Source organism: Homo sapiens, chromosome 19 (assembly GCF_000001405.40).
Source record: "Homo sapiens chromosome 19, GRCh38.p14 Primary Assembly".
Lineage (NCBI taxonomy): Eukaryota > Metazoa > Chordata > Mammalia > Primates > Hominidae > Homo > Homo sapiens.
Window position 1 is genome coordinate 40,467,534 of NC_000019.10, and position 22,898 is coordinate 40,490,431.

The 22,898-nt window shown below is 48.7% G+C and overlaps 1 protein-coding gene across 5 annotated transcripts in view; it reads left to right on the forward strand.

The window, feature by feature from the left end:
• SPTBN4 (spectrin beta, non-erythrocytic 4) overlaps positions 1-22,898 on the forward strand; it is a 109,464-nt gene that overhangs the window by 533 nt on the left and 86,033 nt on the right. For 3 of the 5 annotated variants that reach the window (NM_020971.3, XM_017027051.2, XM_017027052.2), the window contains exons 2-4: positions 5,074-5,257; positions 20,164-20,315; positions 22,542-22,715. In NM_020971.3, coding sequence (NP_066022.2) covers positions 5,089-5,257; positions 20,164-20,315; positions 22,542-22,715 — 495 coding nt within the window. In that variant the 5' untranslated portion in view covers positions 5,074-5,088. Of the gene's footprint in view, positions 1-190; positions 532-5,073; positions 5,258-20,163; positions 20,316-22,541; positions 22,716-22,898 lie in introns of those variants that run through there. The other 2 variants (XM_017027049.2, XM_017027050.2) reach the window with 2 other exon arrangements.

Sequence of the window (22,898 nt, forward strand, 5' to 3'; positions counted from 1 at the left end):
GCAGTGTCTGGACCGCAGGGAGAGAGGCGCGGCCTGGGAAGGGTTAAAGCCTCTGATGCCACCGCAGCCCAGCGCCCCACCAGCCTTTGCGGGGGGGGGGGGGTGTTGGGGGGAGGCTCGCAGGACACCCCTTCCCGGCTTCCCTATTACCTGCTCCCTTCCTTCCCATTCAATCGCGTTATGGCCAGAGCTGATCCTCGGCCTGGCCAGAGGGCTAACAGGAGTGCTAAGGGCCTCCCCATCTCTAAGTGTCTTCCACTGAAGAAAACAGCTGTAACCACCGTTTAACAGGGAGGGAAACTGAGGCACAGAAAGGCCAAGTTAAAGATACTCGGTTAAAGATACAGCAAGAATAAAGCGGAACTTGAACTCATTTCTGTCTGACTCCAGAAGAGGCAAATCGATTTGCTGAGATGTGTGAGGAAAAGATGAAGAATAATAGCAAGGAACATGTATCAAGGGCTTGCAGTGTACCAGATACCATGATCCCTGCATTAATAACTTACCTCTTCAAACACCGCTAAGAAACGGGTACGATTATCATTACTTTTTTTTTTTTTTGAGACGGAGTTTCACTCTTGTCACCCAAGTTGGAGTGTAATGGCGCGATCTTGGCTCACTGCAACCTCTGCCTCCCGACTTCAAGCAGTTCTCCTGCCTCAGCCTCCCAAGTAGCTGGGATTACGGGCATGAGCTACCATGCCTGGCTAATTTTGAATTTTTAGTAGACATGGGGTTTCACTATGTTGGTAAGGCTGGTCTCCAACTCTTGACCTCAGGTGACCCACCCACCTCCTTGGCCTCTCAAAGTGCTGGGATTATAGGCGTGAGCCACCGCCTGGCCTACCCTTTTGTGTGTGTGTGACAGAGTTTCATTCTGTCATTCAGGCTGGAGTGCAGTGAGTCAATCTCAGCTCACTGCAACCTCCATCCCCCAGGTTCAAGCGATTCTCCTGCCTCAGCCTCCCAAGTAACTGGGACTACAGACACGTGCCACCACGCCTGGCTAATTTTTGTATTTTTTTTAGTAAAGACCGGGTTTTGCCATGTTGGCCAGGCCGGTCTCGAATTCCTGGCCTCAAGTGATCCACCTACCTTGACCTCCCAAAGTGCTGAGATTATAAGCATGAGCCACCGTGCCGGGCCATCATTACTATTTTGCAGATGAACAAACTAAGGCCCAAAGAGTGGAAGTATTTCAGCCAAGGTCACACAGGTGGTAGGTAGCTGTGTGCTCACTTTCACTTTTCCATGGAAGGAGGGAAGAACAAAAATGGATTTGGGACTGGGCACAGTGGCTCACATGTGTAACCCCAGCACTTTGGGAAGTTGAAGTGGGCAAATAGCTTGAGCCCAGATGTTTGAGACCAGCCTGAGCAACATAGTGAGACCCCCTCTCTACAAAAAATACAAAAATTACCTGGTCATGGTGGAGCTTGCCTCTAGTCCCATCTACTCAGGAGGCTGAGGTGGGAGGATCGCGTGAGCACAAGAGTTGGAGGCTACAGGGAGCTATGATTGTGTCACTGCACTCTAGCCTGGGTGATAGAGCAATACCTTGTCTCAGAAAAAAAAAAAAGATTTCAATGTGTCCCCCTAAGGGACAATTTCCACTCTACTCACTCTACTGACCAAGACTTAGACCCTGCCTTCCTAGAATTCAGTGGGTTGGCAATTGTCTGGGTCTTTTGAGGACATTGATCTCCCAACTTCCTCCTTTGTTAGTCTTTTTTTTTTCCTTTTTCTTTTGAGAAGGAGTCTTACTCTGTCGCCCAGGCTAGAGTTTAGTGGCACAATCTCGGCTCACTACAACCTTCGCCTCCCGGTTTCAAGCAATTCTCCTGCCTCAGCCTCCTGAGTAGCTGGGATTACAGGCACCTGCAACCTTGCCCACCTAATTTTTGTGTTTTTAGTAGAGATGGGGTTTCACCATGTTGGCCAGGCTGGTCTTGAACTCCTGACCTCGTGATCCACCCGCCTCAGACTCCCAAAGTGCTAGGATTACAGGTGTGAGCCACCACGCCCAGCCGTTAGTCTTAGAATCAGGCCTGGGGGCCCAGAAGGTAAAGGAGATACATCTAATGTCACTTAACCCTTTAAATTTCTTCTCTTTTTTTTTGTTTTTTTTGAGATGGAGTCTCACTCTCTCACCCAGGCTAGAGTGCAGTGGTGCGATCTCGGCTCACTGCGACCTCCGCCTCCTGGGTTCAAGCAATTCTCCTGTCTCAGCCTCCTGAGTAGCTGGGATTACAGGCATGTACCACCATACCCGGCTAGTTTTTATATTTTTAGTAGAGGCGGGGTTTCACCATGTTGGCCAGGCTGGTCTGGAACTCCTGACCTCAGGTGATTCACCCACCTTGGCCTCCCAAAGTGCTGGGATTACAGGTGTGAGCCACTGTGCCCGGCCAATTTCTTCTTTTTTTAAATAATTTTTTGTTTTCTATTTTTTTATTTTCATTTAATTTAATTTTATTTTTTCTGAGATGGGGTCTCACTCTGTCGCCCAGGCTGGAGTGCAGTGGCACGATCTCAGCTCACTGCAACCTCTGTCTCCCAGGTTCAAGCGATTCTACTGTCTCAGTCTCCTGAGTAGCTGGGATTATAGGTGCACAATGCCATGCCTGGCTAATTTCTTGTATTTTAGTAGAGATGGAGTTTCACCAAGTTGCCCAGACTGGTCTCGAACCCCTGAGCTCAGGCAATCCACCCGCCTTGGCCTCCCTAAGTGCCAGGATAACAGGCATGAGCCACCGTGCCCGGCCTATTTTTATTTTTTTATTTTTGTTTGAGATGGTGTCTCGCCCTGTTGCCCAAGCCGGAGTGCAGTGGTGCCATCTTGGCTCACTGCAACCTCTGCCTTCCCAGGTTCAAGCGATTCTCCTGCCTCAGCCTCCTGAGTAGCTGGGATTGCAGGCATGCACTACCATGCCCAGCTCATTTTTGTATTTTTAGTAGAGATGGGGTTTCACCATGTTGGCCGGGCTGGTCTTGAACTCCTGACCTCAAGCGATCTGCCTGCCTTGGCCTCCCAAAGTGCTGGGATTACAGGTATGAGCCACTGTGCCTGCCCCCTCCACTTTAAATTTTTCTTCTTCTTCTTCTTCTTTTTTTCTTGAGAATGAGTCTTACTCTGTCGCCCAGGATAGAGTGCAGTGGCACAATCTCAGCTCATTGCAACCTGCGCCTCCTGGGTTCAAACGATTCTCCTCCCTCAGCCTCCTGAGTAGCTGAGATTACAGTAGCCCGAAACCACACCCAGCTAATTTTTGTATTTTCAGTAGAGACCGGGTTTCACCATGTTGGCCAGGCTGGTCTCGAACTCCTCACCTCGTGATCCGCCTGCCTCGGCCTCCCAAAGTGCTGGGATTACAGGCAGGACCCACTGTGCCCAGCCCCATTAATGCAAATATTCTATCACCTTTTTTTTTTTTGAGACGGAGTCTTGCTCTGTCTCCCAGGCTGGAGTGCATTGGCATGATCTCGGCTCACTGCAGCCTCCACCTCCCAGGTTCAAGTGATTCTCCTGCCTCAGCCTCCTGAATACCTGGGATTACAAGTGTGTGACACCACGCCCAGCTAATTTTTGTATTTTTAGAGACAGGGTTTCACCATGTTGGCCAGGCCGGTCTTGAACTCCTGACCTCAGGTGATCTACCCATCTCAGCCCCAAAAAGTGCTGGGATTACATGCATGAGCCACCGCGCCTGGCCCTATCATCTATGTTTGAATCCTAGATACTAACTGGCTGTGTAACCTTGGAAAAATAGATCAACTCCTCTGTGCCTCAGTTTCCTCCTCTGTAAAATAGGTGTAATAATAGCCAACTGTTAGGGAATTAAATTTGTGGAAATAATAAGAGAAGGTACATGAAGTACTGACCACAGTGCAAGTGTTCAATATGTTCATTATTGTTATTACTGCATTACAGAACTCTATTGTTCTAATAATAACAGTGACAATTTGCTGAGCCCTTAATATGTGCCAGGGGCTAAGCCATGTGTTTTATCACATCCTGTGAAGTGGTGAGGGTGAACATTATTATTATTATTATTTAGAAATAGGGTATCGCCATATTGCCCAGTTTGGAGTGCAGTGTCACTATTATAGATCACTGTAGCCTTGGCTTCTTGGGCTCAAGCCATCTTCCTGCCTCAGCCTCCTAAATAGCTGGGACTACGGGTGGCAACCACCACATTTGGCTAATTTTTAAATTTTTTTAAAAGACAGTTTCTGGCTCTGCTGCCCAGGCTGGAGTGCAGTGGCGCTATCTTGGCTCACTGCAACCTCCACTTCACAGGCTCAAGCCATCCTCACACCTCAGCCTCCTGAGTAGCTGGGATTACAGGCACGTTGCCACCACATCCAGCTATTTTTTTTTTTTTTTTTTTTTTGAGACAGAGTTTCGCTTTTGTTGCCCAGGCTGGAGTGCAATGGCATGATCTTGGCTCACCACAACCTCCGCCTCCCGGGTTCAAGCGCTTCTCCTGCCTCAGCCTCCCGAGTAGCTGGGATTACAGGCATACTCCACCTCGCCTGGAGAATTTTGTATTTTTATTAGAGACAGCGTTCTCCATGTTGGTCAGGCTGATCTCGAACTCCCAACCTCAGGTGATCCGCCCGCCTCTGCCTCCCAAAGTGCTGGGATTATAGGTGTGAGCCACCGTGCCTGGCCAATTTTTGTATTTTTTTGTAGAGACAGGGTTTCACCATGTTGCCCAGGCTTGTCTCGAACTCCTGGGCTCAAGCAATCCGCCCTCCTCAGCCTCTCAAAGTGTTGGGATTATAGGCCTGAGCCACTGCGCCTGGCTTATTTTTATTTTTATAGAGATGAAATCTTGCTATGTTGCCCAGGCTGGTCTCCAACCCCTGGGCTCAAGCGATTCTCCTGCCTCTGCCTCCCAAAGTGCTGGGATTACAGGCATGAGCCACTGTGCCTAGGCCTTATCATTGTTATTATGTCCACTTTAAAGACAGAGAAATTGAGGACAAGAGAGGGGACAGGACTCAAAGCCAGTCACTGTTAGAAATGAGACTTGATCCTAGACCTAACCTACCTCTCCCTATGTCCAGGCCTCACCTTCCCCGATGGCGCAGGTACCAGGGGAAGTGGACAACATGGAGGGCCTGCCTGCTCCTAACAACAACCCTGCTGCCCGCTGGGAGAGTCCGGATCGGGGCTGGGAGCGGGAGCAGCCGGCTGCGTCCACCGCAGCGGCCTCGCTCTTTGAGTGCTCCCGGATCAAGGCCTTGGCAGGTACCTGGAGGAGGGCTGGGGTGGGATGAGGAGGAGGGGGAAGGGGGAAGGGTGCCCGAGAACCTTGGTGGCTGGGAGGGTGGGAAAAGAGACCAGCACTGTCCAATAGAACTTTCCATGATGGTGGAAATAGTCTATATCCATAATGTACCATATAATAATCACTAGTCTCTGTGACTTTTGAATGCTAGAAATGTGGCCAGTGCTATGTGACAGCCTTTGAGTTTTAAATTTTATTTAGTTTTAATTAAATTTATTTATATATATATTTTTTGAGACAGAGTCTTATTCTGTTGCCCCGGCTGGGGTGTAGTGGTGAGATCTTGGGTCACTGCAATCTCCACCTCACCGGCTCAAGCCATCCTCCTACCTCAGCCCCCTGACTAGCTGGGACTACAGGTGCCCGCCACCACACCCGGCTAATTCTTTTTGTATTTTTAGTAGACACCGGGTTTCACTGTGTTTGCCAGGCTGGTTTTGAACTTCTGATCTTAAGTGATCCACTTGCTTTGGCTTCCCAAAGTGCTGGGATTACAGGCATGAGCCACTGCACCTGGCCTGGTGTTTTTTTTTTTTTTTTTTTTGAGACGGAGTTTCGCTCTTGTTGCCCAGGCTGGAGTGCAGTGGCGCGATCTCGGCTCACCGCAACCTCCACCTCCCAGGTTCAAGCGATTCTCCTGCCTCAGCCTCCCTAGTAGCTGGGATTACAGGCATGTGCCACCACGCCCAGCTAATTTTGTATTTTTACTAGAGACGGGGTTTCTCCATGTTGGTCAGGCTGGTCTCGAACTCCCAACCTCAGGTGATCCACATGTCTCGGCCTCCCAAAGTGCTGAGATTACAGGCATGAGCCACGGCACCCGGCCTGTTTTAATTAAATTTAAATAGCCACATGTGGCTTGTGACTGCTGTATAGGTCAGCACAGCCTTAGAGCCTTAGAAATGTACAGTCCCAGAATGGTGGGACTCTGTAAGCATATTCCCTTAGAATCCCGAAATGCAGAGCCATCAGATCCTTGGAACTTGAAATGTCTAAGAGATTCTTAGACCTCTTGAAATGAAGACCTCTGGCCTGGCGCGGTGGCTCACGCCTGTAATCCCAGCACTTTGGGAGGCAAAGGTGGACAGATCTCTTGAGTGCAGGAGTTCGAGACCATGTTCGCCAACATAGTGAAACCCTGTCTCTACTAAAAATAAAAATAAAAAAAAAAATTAGCCAGGCGTGGTGGCATGCATCTGTAGTTCCAGCTATTTGGGAGGCTGAGGTGGGAGGATGGCCTGAGACTGTGAGGTGGAGATTGCAGTGAGTCAAGATCGCGCCACTGCACTCCAGCCCCAGCAGTAAAGCAAGAACCTATCTCAAAAAAAAAAAAAAAAAAAAAAAAAAAAGAGCTTTGGAAATGTGAAACGTTATCATCACAGACCTAAGAAATTTTAGTCATTGTTCCCTAGGATCATAGGCCCTTAGAAACTGAAACTGTAATACACAGGAACCTTTGGGACTTGATAATACTAAACCTTTGGAGTTTCCAATTAGAAATGTGGATCTTGAGAAATCTGACATAGAGTGACCAAAACCTTCCTGCTTTTACCACCGAAACTCTCAGCCTTGGGCCAACCAGTACAGTGGGTCACCCTACCATTTTTTTTTTTTTTTTGAGTCAGGGTCTCACTCTTCACCCAGGCTGGAGTGCAGTGGTGTGATCATGGCTCACTGCAGCCTTGAACTCCTGGACTCAAGTGATCCTCCCACCTCAGCCTCCTGAATAGCTGGAACTACAGGCATGCGCCACCATGCCTGGCTAATTAAAAATAATTTTTTTTTTTGGCGAAGCATGGTGGCGGATGCCTGTAATCCCAGCACTTTGGGAGGCTGAGGCGGATGGATCACTTGAGATCAGGAGTTTGAGACCAGCCTGACCAATATGGTGACACTACTAAAAATACAAAAATTAGATGGGTGTGGTGGTGGGCACCTGTAATCTCAGCTACCCAGGAGGCTGAGGCAGGAGAATCACTTGAACCCGGGAGATGGGGGTTTCAGTGAGCTGAGATCACACCATTTCAATCCATCCTAAGTGACAAGAGCTTAACTCCGTCTCAAAACAAAACAAAAAAATTTTTTTGTAAGATGGGGTCTTGCTATGTTGCCCAGGCTGGTGTGGAACTCCTGGGCTAAAATAACCCTCCCACCTCGGCCTCCGAAAGTGCTTTGATTACAGGGGTAAGCCAGAGTGCCTAGTAGTCACCCTACTTTGATGTATCAGAACAATATTAGCAAAGACCAGAGAACTTTATAGTTATAGAAAGACCTTAGACCTTTAGAACTGTAGACCCTTGAACCTTAGTACTTAGTATTCATAGAGGTCTGGAACCTTAGAAGTGTTTAATCATCAGCATTAAAACTGGCAAAGACCCTGAGGAGCCTCAGAGATATGGAACGTCATAATCATAAGCCTTTAAAACATGACACCCTAGCACCTTTGACCCTTGGGACCTTAACATCTTAGAAACACGGAGCGCTAGAATCATAAAATATAGATGATCATAATCATGAATTCTTAAAACCCAAAGGTCAGAATCAGTTCCCTCCAAATCTTAGAACTTTAGTAACTCAGCAGTTTATAATCACAAGATGGATCTCTGATACTAAGATTTTTGGAACTTTATTTATTTATTTATTTATTTGAGGTGGAGTCTCACTCTGTTGCCCAGGCTGGAGTGCAGTGGCGCAATGTCAGCTCACTGCAACCTCCACCTCCCAGGTTCATGAGATTCTCCCGCCTCGGGAGTCCCGAGTAGCTGGGACTACAGGCCCGCACCACCATGCCTGGCTAATTTTTGTATTTTTAATTGAGGCGGGGTTTCACCATGATGGCCAGGCTGGTCTTGAACTCCTGGGCTCGGGCAATCTGCCCACCTTGGCCTCCCAAAATGCTAGGATTACAGGCATGAGCCATGGCGCTGGCTCAAGAAACCTGGCTGATCTAGAAACCTGTAGTCCCAGCACTTTGAGAGGCCGAGGCGGGCGGATCGCTTGAGCCCAGGAGTTCGAGACCAGCCTGGCCAACATGGTGAAACCCCGTCTCTACTAAAAATATAAACATTAGCCAGGTGTGGTGGCGCATGCCTGTAGTTCCAGCTAGTCAACAGGCTGAGGTGGGAGAATCTCCTGAGCCCGGGAAGCAGAGGTTGCAGTGAGCCGAGATTGTGCCACTGCACTCCAGCCTGGGCAACAGGTTGAGACCCTGTCTCAAAACAATAAGAAACCTGGTTAGGCGCGGTAGCTCACGCCTATAATCCCAGCGCTTTGGGAGGCCAAGGTGGGGGGATCACTGGAGGTTGGGTGTTTGAGACCAGCCTGGCCAGCACGGCAAAACCCTGTCTCTATTAAAAATACAAAAATTAGCTGGGTGTGGTGGCGCGTGCCTCTAATCCCAGCTACTCAGGAGGATGAGGCAGGAGAATCGCCTGAACCTCAGAGGCGGAGGTTGCAGTGAGCCTAGATCGTGCCATTGTACTCCAGCCTGGGCGTCAATAGCAAAACTCTGTCTCAAAAAAAAAAAAAAAAAAGAGAGAGAGAGAGAAATCTGTATATGCCACAAAGTATGAACCAGATTCAACTGGTGGATTGCCAGCTTTGTCTGATCTAGAAACCTAGACTGATGAAAACATACACTCATGGAAACTTACAGTCATACTTTTAGAGCCTTAGAACCTTAAAAAGGTAGGAACATATCAACTTAGAATTCTAGAATTTACTAATTTAGTGTAAGTGAGTTTGTTTTTAGTTTTGTTTGTTTGTTTTTGTTTTTGAGAAGGAGTCTTGCTCTGTCGCCCAGGCTGGAGGGCAGTGACACTATCTCGGCTCACTGCAAGCTCCGCCTCCTGGGTTCATGCCATTCTCCTGCCTCAGCCTCCCGAGTAGCTAGGACTACAGGCGCCTGCCACCATGCCCCGCTAATTTTTTGTATTTTTAGCAGAGATGGGGTTTCACTGTGTTAGCCAGGATGGTTTTGATCTCCTGACCGCGTGATCTGCCCGCCTTGGCCTCCCAAAGTGCTGGAATTACAGGCATGAGCCACCGCGCCCGTCCTGTTTTTAGTTTTTGTTTGTTTTTTGAGGAGGAGGGGGTCTCTCCATGTTGCCTAGACAGGTCTCAAACTCCCGGTGTCAACTCATCCTTCTGAGTAGCTGGGATTACAGATGTGTACCACCACTCCCAGCTGTAGAATTTATTATTATTATTATTATTATTATCATTATCATTATTATTATTTGGACTGCTGCCAGGCTGGAGTGTGGTGATAAAAATCATAGCTCACTACAACCTCCAACTCCTGGGCTTGAGCAATCCTCCCACCGTAGCCTCCCAAGTAGCTGAGACTACAGGCATGCACCATCATGCCCAGCTAATTTTCTTATTATTTTATTTTTTTATAGAGACAGGGTCTCGCAATATTTTCCAGGCTGAACTTGAACTCCTGGACTCAAGTGATCCTCCCACCTTGGCCTCCCAAAGTGTTGGGATTACAGGTGTGAACCACTGGAATTTATTTTATCTAGAAAATATTAATTCAGTGCCTGCTGTGTGCCTGGCTCATGCTGGACAACATGAGGGGCATAGTGGTGACTGAGGCAGCCTGGGTCCTGCCCCCACAGGACTCATAGGTCAGTGAGAGAGAGAGATCCGGTTAGACAATGATGACCCAGAGGGGTCAGAGACAGGGTAGGGGAGGCACAGGCAGAGAGGTTGGGGCTGTTGACAGAAAGGCACAAGCATCAGGCTGTGATGGGGAAGCCCAAGGACTGTGGGAGCCCATAGGATGTACTTGATCCAGCCTGGAGAATCAAGGAGGGCTTCTTGGAGAAGGAGAGGCCTAACTTCAGGCCTAAAGGATGAATTGGCATGAACACTGGAGTGAAGAGTGGAAGAGTATTCTAGGTAGAGGGAACTGCATATGCAAGGCCTCCAGAAGCTGGGAGTGGCTTGACTGAGAAGGATACAGGTGAGGAGTAAATGATGATGGGAGAGGAGCCAGTGGAAGCCAGATCCTTTTTTTTTGAGACGGAGTTTCGCTCTTGTTGTCCAGGCTGGAGTGCAATGCCGCAGTCTCGGCTCACTGCAACCTCCGCCTCCTGGGTTCAAGCGATTCTCCTGCCTCAGCCTCCTGAGTAGCTGGGATTACAGGCGCCTGTCACCTTGCCTGGCTAATTTTTGTATTTTTAGTAGAGATGGGGGTTTCACCATGTTGGCCAGGCTGGTCTCGAACTCCTGACATCAGGTGACCCACCTGCCTCAGCTTCCCAAAGTGCTGGGATTACAAGCATAAGCCACTGAGCCTGGCAGAAGCCAGCTCTTAAAGGGCCTTGCGGGGTACCAGGGAGCTATGGAAAGATTTTAAGCAGAGGTGGGAAGATTTTAAGCAGAGGTGGGATATGGTAAGATGAGAATTAAGGACTCTCCAAATCTTAGAACCATGCTTCTGAGAGCATCTTGCCCAGGGAAATGTAGAAATCCCCTTTAAGATAAAAAAAAAAAATCCTCTCCAGTTTGGGCAACAAAGCAAGATCCTGTATGCACAAAACTTTAAAAATTAACTGGCCACAGTGGCATGTGCCTATATTACTCTGGAGGCTGAGGCAGGAGGATCGCTTGAGCCCAGGAATTGAAGGCAGTGATCTATGATGGCACCACTGCATTCCAACCTTCCAGCTTGGGCAACAGAGTGAGATCCCACCTTAAGAAATTTTATTTTATTTTATTTTTTTTGAGACAGAGTCTCGCTCTGTCACCCAGGCTGGAGTGCAATGGCACGATCTTGGCTTACTACAACCTCTGCCTCCTGGGTTCAAGCTGTTCTCCTTCCTCTGCCTCCCGAGTAGTTGGTATTACAGGCGCCCGTCACCACGCCCAGCTAATATTTTGTATTTTTAGTAGAGATGGGGTTTCACCATGTTGGCCAGGCTGGTCTTCAACTCCTGACCTCAAGTGGTCCACCTGCCTCAGCCTCTCAAAGTGCTGGGATTACAGGCGTGAGCCACGCCCGGCCTGTATGACTTTCATAAATGCTCACAAATGCACAACTCTGCTTAAATCTCCCATGCTTAGGGTTCACATATAGCTCTACAAGTAAAACACATTTATAGAGGAACTCCAGACCCCAAACCAGTAACATTCAGCTTAATAGTAACTTCATGATGCTGCTCTCCTGCTGAAACCACCTTGCCACTCAAAGTGCAAATATGACGTAGACCACTACGCTGCATTTCTTTTGCATCCCTTTGCCCAGCTCTCTCATGGTTTTTCTCCCGCTTTTATTTTGAGGCAGAGTCTCACTCTGTCACCCAGGCTGGAGTGCAGTGGTGCTATCACGGCTCACTGCAGCCTCGACCTCCCAGGTTGCCTGTAATCCTAGCACTGAGGCTGAGATGGGAGCATCACTTGAGCCCAGGAGTTTGAGACCGACCTGGACAACATAGTGAGACCCTGTCTCTATCAATGTTTTCAACATTAAGGAAAATTGTTTGGACCCCACGTTCAGTGTGTTCTCCTACTCACCCTCCACAGTTTGTGGCTCACTACTGTCATTGATCTGTGTGACGCCTCTCTCCAATTCTCTTTTATTCCCAAATCTCAAATCAATTTCTTCTCCCCTGTAGGCAACCACTGACATTGTTTTGTTTTGTTTTTTAAATAAAGATGGGGTCTTGCTATGTTGCCTAGGCTGGTCTTGAACTCCTGGGCCCAAGCAATTCTCCCACCTCGACCTCCCAAAGTGTTGGGAAGCCACTGCTTCTGACCCCATTCAGATAGTTTTTAATGTGAATCTTTTTCTTTGCATGAGAATAATTTTGCAAAATGTGCATTGCTAATGAGTAAGCATATATATATATATATATATATATATATTTAACTTTTTATTATTAAAGTAGTTCATGACACAGAATGGCAGATAAATCATGCCAATATTTCCACAAATGAGTACTCTCTTGTAACCAGCACCCATATTAAAAAACAGAATATACAATGGGGTGTGGTGACTCATGCCTGTAATCCGAGTGCGTTGGGAAACTGAGGCATGATGATCACTTGAGGCCAGGAGTTCAAGACCAGTCTGGGCAACATAGAGAGACCCCGTCTCTACAAAAAAAAAAAATTAAAAATTAGCTGGGTGGGGCCAGGCGTGGTGGCTCACGCCTGTAATCCCAGCACTTTGGGAGGCAGAGGCGGATGGATCACGAGGTCAGGAGATTGAGACCATCCTGGCTAACACAGTGAAACCCTGTCTTTACTAAAAATACAGAAAATTAGCTGGGCGTGGTGGTGGGCACTTGTAGTCCCAGCTGCACGTGAGGCTGAGGCAGGAGAATGGTGTGAACCTGGGAGGCGGAGCTTGCAATGAGCGGAGATCAAGCCACTGCACTCCAGCCGGGGTTAACAGAGAGAGACTCCGTCTCAAAAAAAAAAAAAAAAAAATTAGCTGGGTGTGGTGGCATGAGCCTGTAGTCCTAGCTACTCAAAAGACTGAGGTGGGAAGATTGCTTGAGCCCGAGTTCCAGGCTGCAGTGACCTAAGAAGGTGCCACTGCCCTCCAACCTGGGCAACAGAATGAGATACCATCTCTAAAAAACAAACAAACAGAATGTGACATATGACAGCTCCAGAAAAGCATCCTCATGCCACCTCCCTATCACTACAGTCCAAGGGTGTACTCTCTTAACTTCTAACAGCTCAGCTTCATTTTGCTGGTGTTTTAACTTTCTGTAAATGGAATAATGCATTGTGTGTTGTTTTATGTCCGGCATTATTCACTCAACATTATGCTTGTGGGAGATTCATCCATGTCTCCCTGTGCTTGTGGGGTGGTCCTTCTCCTTGCTGTATAGTGTTGCGTGGTGTGAATGTACCACAGTGTGTTTGTGCATTCACCTGTTGATAAGCATTTGGGTTGCTGCTAGTTTGGGGCTACTATAAATGGTGGTGTTGGGCCAGGTGTGGTGGCTCATGCCTGTAATCCCAGCACTTTGGGAGGCCAAGGCAGGCGGATTACTTGAGTCCAGGAGTTCAAGACCAGCCTGGGCAATACAGTGAGACCCCATTTCTACTAAAAATACAAAAAAGTTTGCTGGGTGTGGTGGTGCATGCCTGTAATCCCAGCTACTCAGGACGCTGAGGCAGGAGAATCACTTGAACCCAGGAGGTGGAGGTTGCGGTGAGCCAAGATAGTGCCACTGGACTCTAGCCTGGGTAACAGAGTGAGACTCTGTCTTAAATAAATAAATACATAAAATAAATGGTGGTGTTCTCAAGTTTCTAGTACACATATTTGGTGGACATATGCGCTTGTTTCTGGTGGTTTACACCCACGCAGGAGTGAAGCTGTCCAATCATAGAGTAAGGGTATATATTTTATTTTACATATATATGTATCTGTTGTTGTTAATTGAGACAAGGTCCCGCTATGTTGCTCAGGCTGGTCTCCAACTCCTAGGCTCAAGCAGTCCTCCTGCCTTGGCTGCCCAAAGTGTTTGGATTACATGTGTGAGCCATGCGCCCGGCCAAGTGAGTGCATATCTAACTTTAGTAGAGACTGCCCGTTTGTATCGTTTTATATTCCCACTAGCAGTGTACCAGAGATTCAGTTACTGTGCACCCCACCCTTGCGATGGTCAGGTTTTTTGTTTTGTTTTGTTTTGTTTGAGACAGAGTCCCACTCTGTCGCCCAGGCTGGAGTGCAGTGGCGCGATCTCTGCTCACTGCAACCCCCGCCTCCTGAGTTCAAGCAATTCTCCTGTGTCAGCCTCTCAAGTAGCTGGGATTACAGGCGCACACCACCACGCTCAGCTAATTTTTGTATGTTTAGTAGAGACGGGGTTTCGCCATGTTGGCCAGGCTGGTCTCGAACTCCTGACCTCAGGTGATCTGCCTGCCTCAGCCTCCCAAAGTGCTGGGATTACAGGCGTGAGCCACCATGCCCAGCTGATGGTCAGTCTTTTTAATTTTAGCCATTTTGGTGGCTGTGCATTCTGTTGTGGTTTTACTTTGCATTTTCCTGATGACTAAGAACAACGAAGAAGGTGAAGCACATTTTCATACATTTATTGGCCATTCAAATATCCTTTAGTGAGATGGCCATTCAAGTCTTTTTTTTTTTTCTTTTGAGATGGAATCTTGCTCTGTTGCCCAGGCTGGAGTGCAATGGCACGATCTCAGCTCACTGCAACCTCCGCCTCCCAAGTTCAAGCAATTCTCCTGCCTCAGCCTTCTGAGCAGCTGGGAATACAGGTGCCCGCCACCACACCTGGCTAATTCTTATATTTTTAGTAGAGATGGGGTTTCACCATGTTGGCCAGGCTGGTCTCGAACTCCTGACCTCAGGTGATCGACCCACCTCTGCCTCCCAAAGTGCTCTGATTACAGGCGTGAGCCACCATGCCTGGCCTGATTTTTAATTTTTTATACAATGGGGTCTGGCTATGTTGCCAAGGCTGGTGTGGAACTCCTGGCCTCAAGCAATCCTCCTGCCTCGGCCTCCCAAAGTGCTGGGATAATGGGCATGAGCCACCATGCCTGGCCTGATTTTTCTATTCCTGATTACAGTCTTGTTAGCATGGAGCAAGAGTTGAGAACTGAAATGCCCACCAAGACCAGACGGGCTGCATACACTGAGAGAACTGGGACCTCCTGTAAGAGGGCAGCGGCCACATAGCTCCCGCGATGGCAGCCTGGCAGGAATGGAGGTCCAGGGTTGCCGTATCATGTGATATTTCATGAGAAGCCCAAAATCTAAATTTTTTAAAGACAAAGTCTTCCTATTTTAAAATGTTGGCAACTGATTTACATTTTTATAAAACGCAGTCGGGGTGCAACCAAATATATCTCAGAGGCTGGGCGCAGTGGCTCATGCCTGTAATCCCAGCACTTTGGGAGGCTGAGGCGGGCGGATCACCTGAGGTTGGGAGTTCGAGACCAACCTGACCAACATGGAGAAACCCTGTCTCTACAAAATATACAAAATTAGCCGGGCCTCGTGGCGCATGCCTGTAATCCCAGCTACTCGGGAGGCTGAGGCAGGAGAATTGCTTGAACCTGGGGGGTGGAGGTTGCAATGAGCCAAGATTACACCACTGCACTCCAGCCTGGGAGACAGAGGGAGACTCCATTTCAAAAAAATAATAATAAATAATAAAATAAATAAATAAAATATATATGTATACACACACACACATAGACACACACACCCCTACCTCTCTCAAGTATGAGTTCCCAAAATCGATGATCCCCCAGAATCCACTGAAGAAAGCCAAATCTAGTCCAAATCCCTCTTTTTGCGAATGTGAAAACTGGGGTCCCGAGAGGGGAGATGACCTCGAGAAGTCACCTGGCCAGTTATTAGTACAGACAGGGCAGAACCCAGTTGTCCTCATTCTGGTACCACTCTAGGGATGCACTAAAATTCCACTTTGGCTTTAGTACTAGCCAAAACCTGCTATTTGGCATGGGCATCATCTGTTAGAAGGCAGAGGAATAAATCCTCAATTTAAAATAATTAAAAGAGTATAATTGGATTGTCTGCAACACAAAAGTATCTATCCCTTAAATATATATAACTGCTATGTACCCACTAAAATTAAAAATACAATTTTTTAAAAAAAATATTGCTTCTTACTCTAGCAGTAGAAAATATACATTTACTTATCTGTATTTTTTAACTTTAAATTGCACCTTGAATGTTTACCTCTAGTTTGAAAACAAATATGCAAATATTAACAGTAAATGCAAAGGAAATATCTTGTTTGTGTCAGTGTGGGTTTTGTGCTGTTTAGATAAGATGGGACCCTATGTGAATACTGATCATCAATCATACCTGAGAAAGTGATGGCAGAAAAGATGCTAAATTGAGGATTTATTCCTCTGCCTTCTAACAGATGATGCCCATGCCAAATAGCAGGTTTTGGCTAGTACTAAAGCCAAAGTGGAATTTTAGTGCATCCCTAGAGTGGTACCAGAATGAGGACAACTGGGTTCTGCCCTGTCTGTACTAATAACTGGCCAGGTGACTTCTCGAGGTCATCTCCCCTCTCGGGACCCCGGTTTTCACATTTGCAAAAAGAGGGATTTGGACTAGATTTGGCTTTCTTCAGTGGATTCTGGGGGATCATCGCAAAGCTCTTCGCAAAGCTGAGGTGGAACGATGGCTTGAGCCTGGGAGGCAGAGGTTGCAGTGAGCCATGATCTTACATCACCGCACTCCAGCCTGGATTTTATACAGGGCAGACCCTGTATCAAAAAAAAAGAGAGAAAAACAAGTACAATTAAATTATTATTGAATATAATCACCCTGTTGTACTGATATCAAATACTAGATCTTACTCATTCTTTCCATATTTTGTACCCATTAACCATCACCCCTTCCCTTAACCCCACTATTGATAATGTTACAAAAGGTAAATTTTATGAAAAAGGAAATTATTGAGAGATTTCAAATGGTTGAAGGAGAAATAAACTGGAAATATACATCTTTATTCCTGAATTAATGGAAAACTTAATAGGAAACTTAATATTATTTAGTAATGGGATTTTAACAGTAACTGTACAGGCTAAGCTGCCAACAAATCGACTTCACAGTACAGTGGCTTAATGGAGAAGCTATTTCTCCCTCCCAGATAACCTCGAGATGATCAACACAGTTGGCAGGAAGACTTAGCTCAGAGAGGTCAGTGTACATTCCAGGTTAATTTCATCTTGTATTCTGTAGACATTGACCTTGGTTTTCCAGTTTATGGGAGTCAGGGGAAGAAAGAGGAAGGCCAGGCAGCAATTTTCTTTTTCTTTTTTAAACTTTATTTTTGGCCAGGCGAGGTGGCTCACGCCTGTAATCCTAGCACTTTGGGAGGCCAAGGGGGGTGGATCACGAGGTCAGGAGATGGAGACCATCCTGGCTAACATGGTGAAACCCCATCTCTACTAAAAAAAAATTAAAAAAAATTAGCCGGGCGTGGTGGCAGGTACCTGTAGTCCCAGCTACTGAGGAGGCTGAGGCAGAAGAATGGCGTGAACCCGGGAGGCAAAGCTTGCAGTGAGCTGAGATCGCGCCACTGCACTCCAGCCTGGGCGATAGAGTGAGACTCCGTCTCAAAAAAAAAACAAAACAAAAACCAAAAAACAAAAAACAAAAAAACCACTTTATTGGCACCCACCACCATGCCCGCTAATTTTTGTTTTTCTGGTAGAGGTGGGGTTTCACCATGTTGGCCAGGCTGGTCCCAAACTCCTGTCGTCAGGTGATCCACCTGCCTCAGCCTCCCAAAGTGCTGGGATTACAGGCGTGAGCCACCGTGCCTGGCCTAAACTTTATTATTTATTTATTTTGGAGGCAGAGTCTCGCTTTGTAGCCCAAGCTGGAGTGCAGTGGCACGATCTCGGCTCACTGCAACCTCCACCTCCCTGGTTCAAGCGATTGTCATCCCTCAGCCTCCTGAGTAGCTGAGATTACAGATGTGCGCCACTAAGTCCTGCTAGTTTTTTGTATTTTTAGAAGAGACAGTGTTCGAGAGGCTGGTCTCGAACTCCTGAGCTCAGGCAATCCACCTACCTTGGCCTCCCAAAGTGCCAGAATTACAGGTGTGAGCCACCATGCCCAGCCTTTTTAAAACTTTAGATTATGAAATAATTACACATTCATAGGAAGTCGCAAAGATAGTAGAGATGATAAAAAGACATGTAACTGGCTGGTTGTGGTAGCTCGAGCCTGTAATCTCAGCACTTTGGGAAGCGTACGTGGGAGGATTGCTTGAGCACAGAAGGTTGAGACCAGCCTGGGCAACATCGTGAGACCCTTGTCTCTACAAAAATAAAAATTAAAAAATCAGATGGGCATGGTGGCATGTGCCTGTAACCCCAGATACTCAGGAGGTGGGAGGACTGCATAAGCCTGAGAGGTTGAGGCTGCAGTGAGCCATGATTGTGGCACTGCACTCAAGCCTAGGCGGCAGAGTGAGATTGTGACTCAAAAAAAAAAGAGTAATCCTACTAAAAAATGTCCAAGGGATTTTAATGACGTTTCTCCAAAGATATACAACTGTCTGATGGAGCATGAAAAGATGCTCAACATCATTAGCCATTAGGGAAGTGCAAAAGAAAACCACAGTGAGGTACAACTTCACGCCCACTAGGATGGCCATAAAAAAAAAAAAAAACAGTAGAGGGAAATGACCAAGCGCAGTGGCTAACACCTGTAATCCCAGCACTTTGGGAGGCCTATGTGGGTGGATTCCTTGAGCCCAGGAGTTTGAGACCAGCCTGGGCAACATAGTGAGACCCCTGTCTCCACACCAAATACAAAAATTAGCCAGGCCTGGTGGCATGCTCCTTTGGTCCCAGCTACTTGGGAGGCTGCGATGGGAGGATCACCTGAGGCTGGGAGGCAGAGGTTGCAATGAGCCAAGATTGCACCATTGCATTCCAGCCTGGGCAACGTAGTGAGACCCCCGTCTCAAGGGAAAAAAAAGGAGGGGTTGGGAAACAGCAAGTGTTGGCAAGGATTTGGAGTCCTCACACATTGCTGGTGCAGCAACTTTTTTTTTTTTTTTTGAGACAGGGTCTGGCTCTGTCACCCTTGCTGGAGTGCAGTGGCATGAGCACAGGTCACTGCAGCCTCAACCTCCCAAGGCCAAGCGATCCTCCTGCCTCAGCCACTCAAGGAGATGGGACTACAGGGGCATTCCACCCTGCCTGGCTAATTTTTTGTATTTTTTTGTAGAGACAGAGTCTTCACCATGTTCCCCAGGCAGGTCTCAAACTCCTGTACTCCAGCAATCCACCCGCCTTGGCTTCCCAAAGTGCTGGGATTACAGGCATGAGCCACCATGCCTGGCCTATGGTGCAGCTACTTTGGAAAACAGTTTGACAGTTCCTTAAGGCCGGGCGCAATGGCTCATGCCTGTAATCCCAGCACTTTGGGAGGCTGAGGCCATGGCTGTATTTATCCGTGTCCTCTCTGAACTGAGCTCTGTGAGGGCCCTGCTGTATTCACAGAGCCTTGAACAGGCACAGAGTGTGCATTCGAATATTTATTGAATGAATGAATGACTAGAGCCAACTGGGGTCACAAGCAGGGAAGGCTTCCTGTGCAAGTGACATGTCAGGAAAACTTCAAGGGACAGGAAGGTTTTCACCAGGTGGGTGGCAGAGGGTCGGGGAAGGCGTCACAGGTAGGAGGAGACATGACTGCTGAGGCTGGACTCTCTTTTTTTTTTTTGAGAAGGAGTCTTGCCTTGTTGCCCAGGCTGCAGTGCAGTGGCGTGATCTCGGCTCACTGCAACCTCCGCTCCCTGGTTCAAGCAATTCTCCTGCCTCAGTCTCCCGAGTAGCTGGGATTAACAGGCATGCACCACCATGCCCGGTTAAGTTTCTTTTTGTATTTTTAGTAGAGACAGGATTTCACCATATTGGCCAGGCTGGTCTTGAACTCCTGACTTTGTGATCTGCCCGTCTCAGCCTTCCAAAGTGCTGGGATTATAGGCATGAGCCACCGCGCCCAGCCGACTCACTCTTTTTTTTTTTTTTTGAGATGGAGTCTTGCTCTGTCGCCCAGGCCGGAGTGCAGTGATGCGATCTTGGCTCACTGCAGGCTCCACCTCCCAGGTTCAAGCAATTCTCCTGCCTCAGCCTCTCCAGTAGCTGGGATTATGGGCGCCCGCCACCATGTCCGGCTGCTTTTTGTATTTTTAGTAGAGACGGGGTTTCACCATGTTGGCCAGGCTGGTCTCGAACTCCTACCTCAGGTGATCCGCCTGTGAGGCTGGACTCTTGCAGAGAGCTGGGTCTGAGCAGGCTTGGCTCGCGGAGGGCTGGGGTGAAGGTGGAAGCGCCTGGGGGCTCATCAGGGCCTCTCCTCCAGATGAGCGGGAAGCCGTGCAGAAGAAAACCTTCACCAAGTGGGTGAACTCGCACCTCGCCCGCGTGGGCTGCCACATCGGGGACCTCTATGTGGACCTCCGGGACGGCTTCGTGCTCACGCGGCTCCTGGAAGTGCTGTCTGGGGAGCAGCTGGTGAGGGGGCCTGAAGGGCTGGGGCAGGGGTCCTCCCTGGGGTCTCAGGCTGGGGGTTGGGCTTCTCTGGAAGGGCTGAACTGCAAGCAGGGGCCTGGCTCATGGGCGAGTGGAACGTGCTGGAAGGGCCCTGTGGGTAAGAGGTCCCTCTACTCGGGTGTGTGGGGCTGTGGCGCTGGGGCGGAGCTTGGTCGTGAGAAGCCTGGGCGCGTGGCTGGAACCGAAGCTGATGGCTCGCTAGCTACGGTTGCGAGGCGGGGCTTCGGTGGAAGGGGCCGGGCTCTGTTGCAAGGGGCAGGGCTATTAGAGAAGGGAGGAGCTTTGTTAGAAGGGACTGGCCCGGGTTATGAGCTAGTAGGGGCATGCTATAAAACAGGGGCAGAACTGTATTGCGGGTTGGGGGTGGGTAGTGGATGAAGGTGCGGGGCTCTAGGCTAGGGGGCAGTGTTCGTTGGTAGGGTGACACCTAGGTCGTCGGTGTCTAGGGACGCAGACGGTGTCCTGGGATGTGGCTTGTTGTATAAATTGGGGCTGTGTCTCTGGGCTTGAATGGGGTTTCATCTAAAAGCGTGGGATTCTCATGGGGTAGAGATTCGTTAAAGGACTGGAGCCTGGATCTCAAGGAATTGTGAGGGGCATGGCTATGGAATAGGAACAAACAGCTGGGCGCTGTGGCTCATGCCTGTAATCTCAGCACTTTGGGGAGCCAAGGTGGGAGGAACACTTGAGCTCAGGAGTTTCAGAACAGCCCGGGCAACATAATGAGACCCCCGTCTCTACGGTTTGTTTGTTTGTTTGTTTATTTGTTTAAATTAACCAGGCGTGGTGGCGCAGGCCTGTAGTCCCAAGTACCCAGGAGGTTGAGGAGAGAGGATCGCTTGAGCCTGGGAGGTCGAGGCTGCAGTGAGCCATGATTGCACCACTGCTCTGCAGCCTGGGCGACAAAGCGAGACTCTGTTTCTCTCTCTTTTTTCTTAATTTTTTTATTCTTTTAAATAGATACGAGGCGTCACTATGTTGCCCAGGCTGATCTAGAACTCCTGGACTCAAGCGATCCTCCAGCCTCGGCCTCCCAAAGTGCTGGGATTACAGGCGTGAGCCACTGCACCGGGCAGAGACCCTGTCTCAAAAATAAATAAATAACCCAAGCGCTGTGGTGAGACCCGTTTCTACAAAAAATTTTTAAAAAATCAAAAAGCATTAGCTGGGTGTGGTGGCGGGCACCTGTAGTCCCAGCTGCTCAGGAGGCTGAGGCAGGAGAATCGCTTGAACCCAGGAGGCAGAGGCTGCAGTGAGTCAAGATCGCGCGACTGCACTCCAGCCTGGGCGACAGAGTGAGACTCCGTTTCAAAAACAACAACAAAAGCCAAAAAAAAAAAAAAAGAAAGAAAAAAAAGAATAGATAGGAACCAACGCTGTTGGAAGGAATTGAGCCATAAACAAGGGGAAGAGCACTGGGGCAGGGCGGAGCTTGATTGGGATGGGCGTGGTTCTAGCTAGGGACCCGAAAGGGAAGCAGCGAGGGGTGTGACGCGGAGTTTTTGTTTGTTTGTTTGAAACGAAGTCTCGCTCCCTCACCCAGGCTGGAGTGCAGTGGCGCGATCTCGGCTCAACAGCAGCCTCCGCTTCCCGGGTTCAAAGGATTCTCCTGCCTCATCCTCCCGAGTACCTAGGATTGCGGGAGCGCGCTACCAAGCCCGGCTAATTTTTGTATTTTTAGTTAGAGGCAGTGTTTCGCCATGTTGGTCAGGCTGGTCTCGAACTCCTCGCCTCAAGTGAACCACCCGCCTCGGCCTCCCAAAGTGCTGGGATTACAGGATTGAGCCACTACGCCGGGGCGGCCATGGGATTAGTGGCAAAACATTGGTAGAGAGGGATCCAATGGCAGGGCCAGGGCTGAGACTATGGGCTAGGAGGGCGGGGCTTCATGATGGGGGCGTGGTTATCAGGTTCGAAGTGGGGCGCCCGTGGAAGGGGCAGAGCCAGGGACGTGAATAAACCTTGAAGGGATGTGATTCTTTAAAGGGTCTGGCTATGGGAAGAGACAGAGCTTCTTTAGAAGGATTGAGTCCTGTGTCTTGGATAAAACGAGAGGAGGACAGCCTGATCCTGGACACTCAGGGGGCGTGGCCACGGGAGGCGGGCTTCTTTGGAAGCTGCGGGGCCGAGGGCGCCATACTCCTGTCTGTCCAGACCCCCGATCGCCCACCGCCCCTGTCGCCCTAGCCCAGGCCCACGCGCGGCCGCATGCGGATCCACTCACTGGAGAACGTGGACAAGGCGCTGCAGTTTCTGAAGGAGCAGCGCGTGCACCTGGAGAACGTGGGTTCGCATGACATCGTGGATGGGAATCACCGGCTGACGCTGGGGCTGGTCTGGACCATCATCCTGCGCTTCCAGGTGACCCTCGAGTGGCCCCTGCCAAGCCCCGCAACATGGGACTTAGGAAAGCGTTCCCCACCATTTACCCATTCATTCTTTCCTTCCAATAATATCCTAATATGCTGGAATCCTATTCCAGGTGTTAGGGATGAAAATAATGATAAAAATAATTGTCACGATCACCACCATCACGATAATCAT